Source organism: Homo sapiens, chromosome 12 (genome assembly GCF_000001405.40).
Source record: "Homo sapiens chromosome 12, GRCh38.p14 Primary Assembly".
Taxonomy (NCBI): domain Eukaryota; kingdom Metazoa; phylum Chordata; class Mammalia; order Primates; family Hominidae; genus Homo; species Homo sapiens.
The window spans coordinates 62,801,647-62,814,827 of NC_000012.12; the positions used below are offsets into that span (position 1 = coordinate 62,801,647).

At 42.7% G+C, this 13,181-nt stretch overlaps 1 protein-coding gene across 3 annotated transcripts in view; it reads right to left on the reverse strand.

Moving 5' to 3' along the window:
• The window catches only part of PPM1H (protein phosphatase, Mg2+/Mn2+ dependent 1H), a 291,157-nt gene that overhangs the window by 157,653 nt on the left and 120,323 nt on the right, over positions 1–13,181 (reverse strand). For all 3 annotated transcript variants that reach the window (NM_020700.2, XM_011538578.3, XM_017019676.3), the window contains exon 3: positions 170–514. In NM_020700.2, coding sequence (NP_065751.1) covers positions 170–514 — 345 coding nt within the window. The remainder of the gene's footprint in view (positions 1–169; positions 515–13,181) is intronic.

Consider the following 13,181-nt stretch of genomic DNA (forward strand, 5'->3'; position numbering starts at 1 on the left):
TCTGCTGCCAATTTCTATTGGGAATGGAAGCCCCATTATCACAGGGGGCCGTCCAGGTGGAGCCAGGCAGCAAAACCGTGCGCTTTCTGGGAGCCCTCCAGGAAGGACGGACAGACCTGGCGCAGGCGCCAGCCTGGCCCTGCTGCCCCAGACTCCCAGGAATACCTACCATTTCCTTGAATGCACTTTCAAGCGCTCCGATGACCAGGCACTCATGGGGAATCTTCTTCTCGGTAAAGAAGCGTGTGGGGGGCGTGCTGGGGGAGCCCGGGGCCCCCACCCCTCCGCGCAGGGAGGCTGCCCGGGTCAGAGTCCGGCTGTTGGCGGGCGTGTTCTCAGGCTCCTCCCCCAGGCAGGTAGGGGGCAGGACGGCGGAGTTCTTCAGGATGTCCACGATGTCCTGCAGCTGCTCCGTGATGTGGTGCTGCAGCAGGCGTGACGCCACCACCGCGGCCCCGGACCCCGCGTGCCCGTCAAACAGCGACCAATAGTGGCAGGAAACACCCTCGGATTCCTGTGGGAGAGGACGACAGGGAGGAGTGAGAACGGCTGTGGACTTTGCCTCAGGGTCATACAGATTGTGGGACATCTATGGGACTGAGGGTCCACTTGGTTGTCTGTCGTCTGCAAACAATGCGGTCAAAACATAGCAAACAAAACAAAATAAAACAAACAAAAACAAAAACAAAAAAAACACTCAGGGAAGGGTCCCCAAATGAGCCATTGTTGTTACTAGCACCAGAAGGATGAAGCGGTCTCTGCCTCCCCACCTAGCAAGGGAGCCCAAATGATCATACACTAAGCTACTACTTGGAGGGTGAGATCTACTCTAATTTGAAGTGTAGGTGTTTGCATAAAACTCTCCTACAAACAGACAAGTCTGTACGAGTCCAGCTTGAACACCTAACTCCTTAACTCCCGTCTTTTTTTTTTTTTTGACAGAGTCTCACTCTGTGGCCCAGGCTGGAGTTCAGTGGCGCGATCTAGGCTCACTGCAACCTCCACCGCCCAGGTTCAAGCGATTCTCATGCCTCAGTCTTCTCATGCCTCAGCCTCTGGAGTAGCTGGGACTACAGGCGCGTGCCACCACACCAGGCTAATTTTTTTTTGTATTTTTAGTAGAGATGGGGTTTCACCATGTTGCCCAGGCTGGTCTCAAACTCCTGGCCTCAAGTGATCCACCCACCTTGGCCTCCTAAAGTGCTGAGATTATCCCAAAGGGCTGGGATTACAGGCGTGAGCCACCGTGCCTGGAACCTCCCATCTATTTCAACCCCAGAGTAGGTTTGATCTGGGGCCTTGGAAAAACGCCCTTTCTCAGGTTTTCCAACGGGAAATAAGTAGACCCATTTTCCCCTTTTAGAGCCCTTAAATGCTGGGATAATTGTCCCATCTTTCTTGGTCTACATCCTGAATTTTTAGAACATGTTTTCACCCTAGACAGCCAGTCTAGCCCAGGCCTCACAAGATGCAGCCAATTCAAATCTCCTCTTTATACTTCCCACCTCCCTTAGTTCTCCAGCTGATGTCACTCTCGGTCTCTCCATTCCTTCTTCTTGCCTTACAGCTACATGCAACCCGTGTTCCCTCATCTACGTTGGGTTTAGTGGCTGCTGGTGGATTTCTAGACTACTTCAAGATGAGCACTTTTGAACCCATGTTTGAATTACACACGTGTTAGATCTTAGAGAAAAGGAGCTCAATTATGACATAGCTGATAGAATAGAGAGCTCAGAAATAAACCCACACATATGTTGTCAACTAATCTTTGACAAGGGTACCAAGAATACACATTAGGGAAAGAAGAGTGTCTGCAATAAATGGTATTAGGAAAAGTGAATATCCACATGCAAAAGAATGAAATTGGGCCCTATTCTTATATCATATACAGAATCCAACTCAAAATAGCCTAAAGACTTAGATGTAAGACGTGAAATCATAAAACTCCTAGAAAAAAACATGGGGGAAAAAAACTCCTTGATATTGGTCTTGGCAATGATTATTTAGATATGATACCCAAAGCACAGGCAATGAAGCAAAAACAAACAAGTGGGACTACATTAAACTAAAATGTTTCTGCGCAGCAAAGGAAGTAATCAACAAAACCAAAAGGTAGGTAGCCTATGGCATAAGAAAAAACCCTTGCAAAGCATGTGTGTGATAAGGGGTTAATTTTCAAAATACACAAGAAACTCCTACAATTCTATTGCAAACAAAACAAAACAAGCAAGCCGATGAAAAAATGGGCAAAGGGCTTGAAGAGACATTTCATCAAAGATGACATAAAATAAATGGCCAGCAGGCTTGTGAAAAGATGCTCACCATCGATACCTTTCATAAAACTCAGTGAACTGAAATTAAGGACCTTCCCCAACCAGATAAGGGGCATCTAGGGAAAACCTTTAGCTCATATCATATTTCATGGTGAAATACTGCATGCTTTCCCATAACACTGGGCAAAACAAAAAAAGTATGCTCTCACTACTTCTATTCAATATGATACTGGAAGGTTCTAGATAGGCAAGAAAAAAGAAAAGGCCTAAAGATTGTATAAGAAAATAGCTGGGCACAGTGGCTCACGCCTGTAATCCCAGCTACTCAGAAAGTTGAAATGGGAGAATCCCTTGAATCGAGGAGAAGGAGGCTGCAACAGGCCAAGATCTTGCCACTGTATTCCAGCTGGGGTGACAGAGTGACCCTGTCTCAAAAAAAAAAGATTGTTTAAGAAAATAAAGTTGCATTTATCCTGGCTTTGAGCAATTTGAGCATGATGTACCTTAGTGTCATTTTCTTCATGTTTCATGTGCTTGGAGTTTGTCTTTCTAGATCTGTGGACTTACAGTTATTTCATATGATTTAGAAAAATTTCACCCATTATTTCTTAAAAAAAATTTTTTTTGGTATCCTTCTCTCTTTTCTCCTTGGAAGAATCTAATTACACCTGTAGTAGTCCCTAGAGGTTGTCCCATAGCTCATTAAGGATGCTTTCATTTTTTTAATGCTTCATTTTGGTTAATTTCTTTTTTTTTCTTTTTTTTTTTTTTTTTGAGACGGAGTCTCGCTCTGTCGCCCAGGCTGGAGTGCAGTGGCGGGATCTCGGCTCACTGCAAGCTCCGCCTCCCAGGTTCACGCCATTCTCCTGCCTCAGCCTCCCAAGTAGCTGGGACTACAGGCGCCCGCCACTACGCCCGGCTAATTTTTTGTATTTTTAGTAGAGACGGGGTTTCACCGTTTTAGCTGGGATGGTCTCGATCTCCTGACCTCGTGATCCGCCCGCCTCGGCCTCCCAAAGTGCTGGGATTACAGGCCTGAGCCACCGCGCCCGGCCCATTTTGGTTAATTTCTACTGCAATGTATTAAACTCACTTTTTAAAAATCTTTTTGTTTTTTATTAAAAAACGGACAAAGGATCTGAATAGACATTTCTCAAATAAAGATAAGCAAGTGGCTAACAAGTATATGAAAACATGCTCAAAATCAATAATCATCAGGAAAATGCAAATCAAAACCACAATGAGATAGCACCTCACACCTGTTAGGATCGCTATTATCAAAAAAACGAGACAAGTGTTAGTGAGGATGTGTAGAAAAAGGAAACTTCTGTCCTGTCAGTGGGAATGTAAATTGGTACAGCCATTACAGAAAACAGTATGGAGGTTCCTCAAAAAATTAAAAATAGAACCATCATATAAAGCAATTTTACTGCTGGTTATATAACAAAAGGAAATGAAATCAGTATCTATAGCCCAACGTTCATTGCAGCATTATTCACAACAGCCAAGACACTGAAACAACCTTAGCATCCATCAACAGATGAATGGTAAAGAAAATGTGGTGTATATTATTTACATACAATAAGATATTATTCAGCCACAAAAAGAAGGAAATTCTGCCATTTGCAACAACATGAATGAACCTGGAGGGCATTATGCTAAGTGAAATAAACCAGACACAGAAAGACAAATACCACTTGATCTCATATGTGGAATCTAAAAAAGAGTCAAACTCGTAGAAGCAGAGAGTCGAATGGTGGTTGCCAGGGGCTGGGGTTGAGGAAAGTGGGGAGATAATGGTCAAAAGGTACAAAGTTTCAGGTATAAAATGAGTAAGTTCTGGGGATCGAATGTACAGTATGGTGACTTTAGTTAGTAACACTGTACTGTATACTTGAAATTACCTGAGAGAGTAGATTTTAAGTGTCCTCACCACAAACACACAAAAACTGGTAACTATGTAAGGGAATGGATGTATTAACTTGATTGTGGCAGTCATTTCACAATGCACCCGTATATCAAATCATGCACACCTTAAATACATGATTTCTGTCAATCATACCTCAATAAAACTGGGAGAAATAAAACATTACATTTGAAAAAATGTAACTAGAGGGGTAGGATATAAAACACTAAGAAAAATAAATATTTGGGATCTCTATTTTCAGAAAATTGGTGGACAAAGAGGTAAGGTATGGATATAACATCTACTTCTGACTAGCTGGCTTATCTACCCTATGGCAATAAATACTGAAGGCTTTTTTTTTTTAATTGAAGCCATTAAATAAAATTTTTAGTATAATGCTAGAAGACACTGAGTAGATATGGTGACATGAACCATTACTCTGTGCTCTTTAAAACTTGATTTCCATTCGATTCTGTGTTAGGTGCTAAGAAATAAAATAGCTGATTTTTAATTCAACCAATATGTGATTTGAGCACTTTCTATGCAACAGGCTCTGGAGTAGGCAGTAGAGATAAAAGACTGGCTGAAAGAGATATCAGACATGGCCTGATCTTAATAGTCCAGTGGGGAAGACAGACACTGACTGATACGGTTTGGATTTGTGTCCTCTGCCAAATCTCAGGTCGAATTGTGATCCCCAGTGTTGGAGGAGGGGCCTGGTGGGAGGTGACTGCATCATGGGGGTGGATTTCCCCTTGTTCTTGTGACAGTGAGTGAGTTCTCACGAGATCTGGTTGTTTAAAAGTGTGTAGCACCTCCCCCTTCACTCTCTTCCTTCTCTGGCCATGTAAGATGTGCCTGCTTCCCCTTCACCTTCCACCACGACTGAACGTTTCCCTAAGGCCTCCCCAGCCATGCTTCCTGTACAGCCTGTGGACCAGTGAGCCAGTTAAACCTCTTTTCTTTATAAATTACCCAGTTTCAGGTATTTCTTTAGAGAAGTGAGAGAACATACTAAGACACTGATCAAATAATCACACGTACAAACATAAGATCACAAGTCTGATCAAAGAGAGGACAAGGAGAAATTCTTAGTACTACAAGGCCAGCCTGCAGAGGGACAGGACACATTGGAGAAGGCTTCCTGAGGACATGAGGACTAGGCTGAGGATGCATGGAAGTTCATGAGATAAGGAGGGGAGGGGAGAGAATCCCAAGCAGTAGCAACAGCAGGTGCAAGGGCCCTGCGGTAGAATGGGGGCATGATGCACGAGCATAGACTCAACCATGGCCATGTGGCTGAGTGGGAGAGTGAGGAGCAAGATGAGGGTGGAGAGAGAGGTAGCAGCTAGACCACTCAATATTTACAGGACACATGAAGGATCCTGGCTTTAGCATAAGTGTAACAAAAAAAAACCATTGACTGAAGTAAGAATGACAAAATCAATTTATGTTTTTAAAAGATCACTCAAGCTATTCTGTGAGATTAGAAAAGAAATAAGGGTGAAAGTCATGATGCTAAGGTAGGAGGTAAATCCTGCCCTAAAAAACATTCAGTCACATTCAGGCCATAAGAAACACATTTAAACAATGAAAAGTGTCATAAAACAAAGGTAAAAACACAAAGAGCTCTAACTCATAGGAAAGAGGAAAGAACAATGATTACAGGTGAGAAGATTTGGATTCTAATCCCATCTTCAACACCAATCATCAGCTGAGTGGTGGCAGGACAGGTGTTAGGCCATTAGCTGGTTGTCCCTTTTGCTTAACATTTCTATGCCATGGTTTGTTGTTTTTTAATCCCTTGAACTAGATAAAAACAAGTTTATAATGAGATGTTAAAATCTTCAATGTCCTCCTATGCTAGGAGGATGTAAAAAAGGGACATACTATTCGGGGAAATACAACCACATTGTGGGCTCTGCTATGTGCTTAGAGTTCAGCTCAGCTGTTAAAAGTGTAAGAGACTCTAAGGTCAGAGAAACACATCCAGTTACAGGTCCAGAAAAACCTTCCCATCACTTATTTATGAGACAAGGTCTTGCTCTGTCACCCAGGCTGGAGTGCACTGGCACAACCACGACTTACTGAAGCCTCAACCTCCCAGGCTCAAATGATCCTCCAGCATCAGCCTCTTGAGTGGCTGGGACTACAGGCATGTGCCACCACATCCAGCTCATTTTTGTATTTTTCAGAGAGATGAGGTTTTGCTATGTTGCCCAGGCTAGTGAACTGGGCTCAAGCAGTCCTCCTGCCTTAGCCTCCAAAAGTGCTGGGATTACAGGTATGAGCCACCGTGTCTGGCCACCCATCCCATCATTTAATAAACCTTATATAGCAGGCAATACTCTAAATGCTTTACAAATATGAACTCGTTTAATCCTTACTCCACTCCTCTGTGAGAGGTGTGGTAATTATCTGCATTTTATATTGTAGGAAAATGAGAGACAGAGAATATAACTGCTCTAGGTCACCACCTATTAAGTTGTGCAGCAGGGACCAGAGTCTATGCTTTCAGCCATCAACCTCTATGCTAAGGTGACCACCCCTACCCTACCACCAGAGGGAAGGTTGCCTTAATTTATACATAGTGCCATAGTCCATTTTTCTACTCTATAATCTGAGTTGCAACCAGAGTGATTTTTCCTAAAACACAACATTTGGTCATTTTCTTTTATGAGTCTAACAGCCTGCTCTGTGGGCTGGCTCCTGTCCGTGAGCCTCCAGTTTGCCGTCTCTGATTGAATCTCTGATGATCTCCCCACATTCTAGCCCTTACTCAAATCCCACCCACACCAAACTACAGAACTTGCAGCTCATCACAAACCACTAACCATCACCACCTCCTTTACATAACTCCCACCTGGCTTTCAGTACTCAGCTTAAATATCATCTCCTTCCAGAAGCCCCTACTTCACCCTGAGCACCATCTGGACAGCGGCCTTGAGGGCTAGGGTGACATTCCAGTCTGGCAAAGCAGACTGAGAAGCCTCCATTTTACCACCTGGTGGGTACTAGTGAGTTGCAATGCCTCTGTACCTAGGAGTGCTATGAAAGCTGGATGGCAAGAAAGAAGTGCTAGAATTTAAAAGGCTCATGAAGGACTGCAAGAGGTGTTTCAAAGAACTATATGAGGCCAGAGAGGGCTACATGTGTTTGAAATGTGACCAAAATATTAGAGAGATTAAAGATCTATTTTCAAAGGTGGAATGATCAAATAGGTTTTGCTGTACCTTTATTTTATTTTTCTGAGACAGAGTCTGTCACCTAGTCTGTAGTGCAGTGGTGCGATCCTGGCTCACCGCAGCCTCTGCCTCCCAGGCCCAAGTGATTATCCCACTTCAGCCTCCCAAGTAGCTGGGACTAAGGCATACACCACCACACCAGGCTAATTTTTGTACTTTTAGTAGAGACAGGGTTTCACCATGTTGGCCAGGCTGGTCTCAAACTCCTGGCTTCAAGTGATCCACCCATCTCAACCTCCCAAAGTGCTGGGATCACAGAGGTGAGCTACCAGGCCCGGCCTGTACACTTATTTTAAGGATATGAGGATTCTCCCTTCTTTCCTACCTGGTTCTCCTCAAAATGATGCCATCAACTGCCGTAAGATAGGCAGGATGGTTTGATGCATAAAGTCAGATCTGTGAACATGAAGGAATGAATGTCTCCTCAATGTCACATGAGCAGGAGGGGCCTTCATCAAGGTTAGGGGTCTAAGCCAGAAATAAGGTGGCCTGGGCAATGCAACTGTGAATCTAAGAGATAGGCCTGGGGAATCACAAGTGGTATGAAGGTGATGCTTTTAAAGCATCTGAAACCTGCGATTTCACTGCAAATACACATGTATTGCTTCACTGCTCAGAATCTTCAGTTACTCCCTACTGCCCTTAAAATGCCACTTTTTTCTCTTAGATGCTGACATGTCTTACAGACACTGAATGATCTAGTTACTATTCACTCTTCAGCACATCTCTTGCTTCCTTCAGTGGTCCTGAACTTCTCTCATTTCCTCTCTTCTAACTCTCAGTGACCTCTGGAACTATGACCATCATGTTTTTCTTCTGCGTGAAACACTGATCCCTATCTCTCTGCTTGGAAAACTATCCTTCGGTTTTTGGTGGAAGCGTGACCTATTCCATCAAGCCTGCTTGGATCACCTCAGCCCCTGTGCATCCCATTTTCTGTACACCAGTATGCATCAGCCCTGCTCACAGAGACTTAGGTGTGTCTCATTTGCTCTGGTATTCCCAATGAGTGTCTGGTACAGAATAGATGTTCGATAAATACTTATTAAATATACAAAGAAAGAAAAGGAGAGAATGGTTTTTATTTTTTCAAAGCAATACAGTAGCTTGGCAAATAGGGATTTTATATAAGACACTTCACATTGGTAAAACCAATAGAATATCATAACCCTACCCTACTCCAGGATTGGGGATGACTTGATCTTGCTTTATTTACCCAGGACTGTGTCCTCTCAGCTCCCTGAGGCCAAGTGTGCCAAGCAAATAAGGAGTCTGCATCTGGGACCCTGGGAATCTCAGAGGGGCTCCAAAGAAACGAAGAGACATTGCCATCTCTGGCTGTACTTGATTTGCTGAGCCTCGTTCCTACATAACCAGTATGAAACTCACTGTCTCCCTCTCTCTCTCAATCCAATCTCTTCTGAGCTAGGGCATATCCACCCCTCATACTGTTGGCAAAGGAGGAACATCTCCTCAGTTTGGTATTAACTCTAAGATTTTGTGTTTATATGGTAAATGAACAAGGTTTAAGCATTTACATTATTTAACAGTCCAAGGGCAATTTTAGTTATTTTAAATGCTGGATATTTACTTACGCATTCTCAAATGAGTTAAAACAAACATATTCTATCTACCATGATATGTCTTAACATAGAAAGACCACAGGCTTTAGATCAAGACAAATCTGGGCTCTGAAATGTACTACTATGTGACCTTGGGGAAGTTACTTAACTTCTCTCAACTCCATTTCCTTATTTGAAGAAGATGATAAAGGACAAGGCAAAATGGTGGCACAGACAGTAAGATTACTTCATGTAATGGTACATGTCTTGGAGCCTCCTTTCCTATGTGCCAGGCTCCATGCTGGGCACTAGAGATACAGCAGAAAATGAAAATGTCATGGTTCTCAAGCTCTTGAACTAACAATCTAGAATATGATCAGGTAATTACAAGTGTGATGAATGTTAGAAAAACAAAGTGCATGGCATCACGTGAGTGGATAACATGTATTAAATGTGCAGCTAACCATGGGGTATGGGGGGCACACGGGAAGGGGTATGGCTATGAAGGGATAGCAAGAAGGAGTTCTCTGTCATGATGAAACTGCTCTGAATCCCTGTTGCAGCAGTGATGATATGTATCTATGCACGCATTAAAATTCATACAACTGTATACCAAAAGGAAAAAGTTAATTGTACTGTATGTTTTAAAAATGATAAAATGTATAGCACTGTATTCAGCACATAGGAGTGGCAAAAACACTAGAAGTAATGGTAATTACTTATACTATTAAATAGCCTGGAGGGACACTGAGCAGGTGGGGAGACCAGGCTGCACATCTGAGCTCCTGACTTCCAATTCTGCCAAATGGTGTACTCATCTCGCTCTACTGTGCAACTCCTGTTGCTTCTGTTCACCTTTCTTATTTCCCCTAAAGGAAGTCTTAGTTCAAAGGACATCTGATATGGTGTGGCTGTGTCTCCACCCAAATCTCATCTTGAACTGTAGTTCTTATAATCCCCACATGTCGTGGGAGGGACCCTGTCGGAGGTCATTGAATCATGGGGGTGGTCACCTCCATGCTGTTCTTGTGATAGTGAGTTCTCACAAGATATGATGGTTTCATAATGGGCTTTCCCTCCCCTTTGCTCTGCATTTCTCCTTTCCGCCACCATGTGAAGAAGGATGTGTTTGCTTCCCCTTCCACCGTGATTGTAAGTTTGCTGAGGCCTCCCCAGCCATGCTGAACTGTGAGTCAATTAAACCTCTTTCCTTTATAAATCACCCAATCTCTGGTATGTCTCAGCAGCGTGAGAATAAACTAATACAAATCTATCAAGCACCTATGTTTAATCCCCCTAACATCACAATAAAATTGTTGTCACTCCATTTTGCCAACAGTGAAACTGGGGTACAGATAGTTTAAGTAACTCTGCTGGTATGTGGCAGAGATAGGATTTGAACCTAGTTCTTCAGACTCCAAGTTAAGGGATCTTTCCCTCTCCCCAGTGTCACATAACTTTGTGTAATTAATCTCCTCGGCTTCTGTTACTGTGTGGCCTTGCACTTCAGTGTTGCTTGTGTTATTTTAATTTGTTTATTGCTTACTAGTAATTGCATACGTGTCTGATTGCTCAAATGTTTCGGCAATGGCTCTGCATTACTCTTCCGGAAGCTTCAGAAAATGTTGATGGGGCACCAGCACAGGATGCAAATCAGACCCTTCATAATTAGAGTAACCTAGCTCTTGACATAATACCTTCAAAATTACTCATATTCATTCTAACAAATGTTTAACCTTATTTTTGCTCCAGATAAACATGAGTTAAATGTGTACTCCACTTGAAGAAAAACAGTATCAAGCCCCTTCCTGACTTACCATATAATTCAATTTGGCAGAAATCACTTCTGACTCACAAAACAATAACTTTGAGGCAGTTTTCCAGTTGCACTCTAAATTATTTCATTTACAAAGAATCAGTCTTATATGCAATTTATAACACACAAATGCCTACCTACTTCTATTCAGGAATACATCTGCAGCCTGATGAAGGAAGATTCCAGAAGGTGAAAAATTGAGAGCTTGAAAATTCAGTTTCTCTTTTAGACTTTCTCTACAGTAGGCTCACTATCACATTCTCTTCTCGCAAAAGGAAACTGCTTTTTAATAATTTTATTTTCTTTTTCCCATTTTTCAAAAAATCTAGTATGCCAGAACTTAATGAGTTCTAACTGGAAAAGACTCCTTGGGCCTTTCAACAAATACAAGATTGTTCCAAACAGAAATCTAACTATTAAACAAGGAGCTGAAGTCATTTCAGAAACAAGCAGGTGGTGTCCATTCAGCTTCAGGTATACTGATCCCAGGGCCAACCAAAGATGTCAAAAATGACCAGCTTAAATTTTAGCCCTACTCGAACAGGAGCTACATCAACGTGCACCTGAACTCCGGGGAATCCATAGACTAAAACAGCCAGCGTTAGCCATCTGGGTGGTTGTGAGGTACCCATCCCCTCTTTATGGAGTGCCAACTGAGAAGGAGAGGTTCTAGACATAACCTCAGACGTTTCCTGTGGAGACCAACAGAAATACCCAGATGTAGGAGAGGAAATACACAAAGCCAAGGAGTGGGGTTTGAGGTATTTGTTCCAGCTTAAGGAAACGACGGTTTTGCCTTCCTTTACTCACTGCACAGAGCTCTAGAGTTTTGCAAACCTCTTTATCCCTCTTCCCCTGAGACGAGTGCTCTCCACACGAAGCACATGAATGTGAGGGGGAATTGGTCGGCGTGTAAGAGACACGTTAGAAATGCTTTCCTAGTTTTCATTCGGGATGACACTGGCGCCCTCGCGTGGTACGTAAGTCAATCCTCCGCGTGCATGGGATGCTGGTGCTCTTCCATGCCTGTTAGTTTTGGTATATGGCAACCCATTGCAGGGGACCTGTGCCCCTAACTGGTGATTATACTACTAAATTTTAAATTAAAATTATTCCTCACATAGTAGACAACAGGTTAAAAAAATTTCTGCAAAGAAACTACAGATAGAAAACATGAGCAAATAAGAACATGTCAGAGCTGGCACTTGATATTCCCAGGAATGACAATCCAGTCATATCTGACAATCATCATCATCATATCTAGCCAAAATACTCTGAAACGCTCAAGGGGAGAGTTGAAATATGGAATTATACTCGCTATTGTTAATGATGAATTTTGCCTTGAGATATTAGCTAATGATAGCAGGAAGTCTTTGCTCTTAGCAAGACAGTAAATGAGTTACTGTGTGAAAAACACTTAAATCAATGCCTGGCATACAATTAACACTGTATCACTGTTAGCTGTTGTTATTTTAAAACGTTGCCTTTTCATCTTTATTGCCCTTAAATTATTAAAACATTTAAAAATTTTAAATGTATCTTTATAGTTTTAAAATAATTATATACTTTATGGATACACAGTAGTAGGTTATATATCAATAAATGATCAATAAATGAACAAACACATTGGGGGTGCATTTTTTTTCTAAGAGACAAGGTCTTGCTCTGTCACCCAAGCTGGAGTGCAGTGGCATGATCATAGTTCACTGCAGCCTCAGTCTCCTGGGTTCAAGCCATCCTCCCACCTCAGCCTCCTGAGTAGATGGGACCATGAGTGCACCACCACACCAGGCTTTATTTTTTATTTTTATTTTTGTAGAGATGAGTTCTCCTTATTTTGCCCAAGCTAGTCTGGAACTCCTGGCCTCAAGCTATCCTCCCACGTTGGCCGCCCCAAGAAGCTAGGACTACAGGCATGTGCCACCACACCTGGCTAATTTTTAAATTTTTTGTAGAGAGGGTCTTGCTATGTTGCCCAGGCTGGGTCTCAAACTCCTGGCCTCAAGTGACCCTCCTGCCTTGGTCTCCCAATGCTGTGAAATTACAGGCATGAGCCACCACACCCTGCCAAAAAAATTGTTTTTAACTTACGATTTGGAGACTGTTAATTTAGAAATAGTTGTCTGAAGGGAAAAAGTGGTATCCTCCTGGTAGCATTCACAAGTCCTTAGCTTATTTAATATTATTCTTCCCTTTGCCACCCTAACTATTCAGGTATTTATACAACCGGTGGAGGGGCCATATCAACAGCAGGAAAGGCCTATCACAAATGTAGAAATCCCACTTTGAGTGACATCTCATCGTTGATTTTACAAAATGTCCTGTATGAGCACAGAATGCACTTTCTACCCCGTCTCTCCCACTACCAAAGAAAAGGGA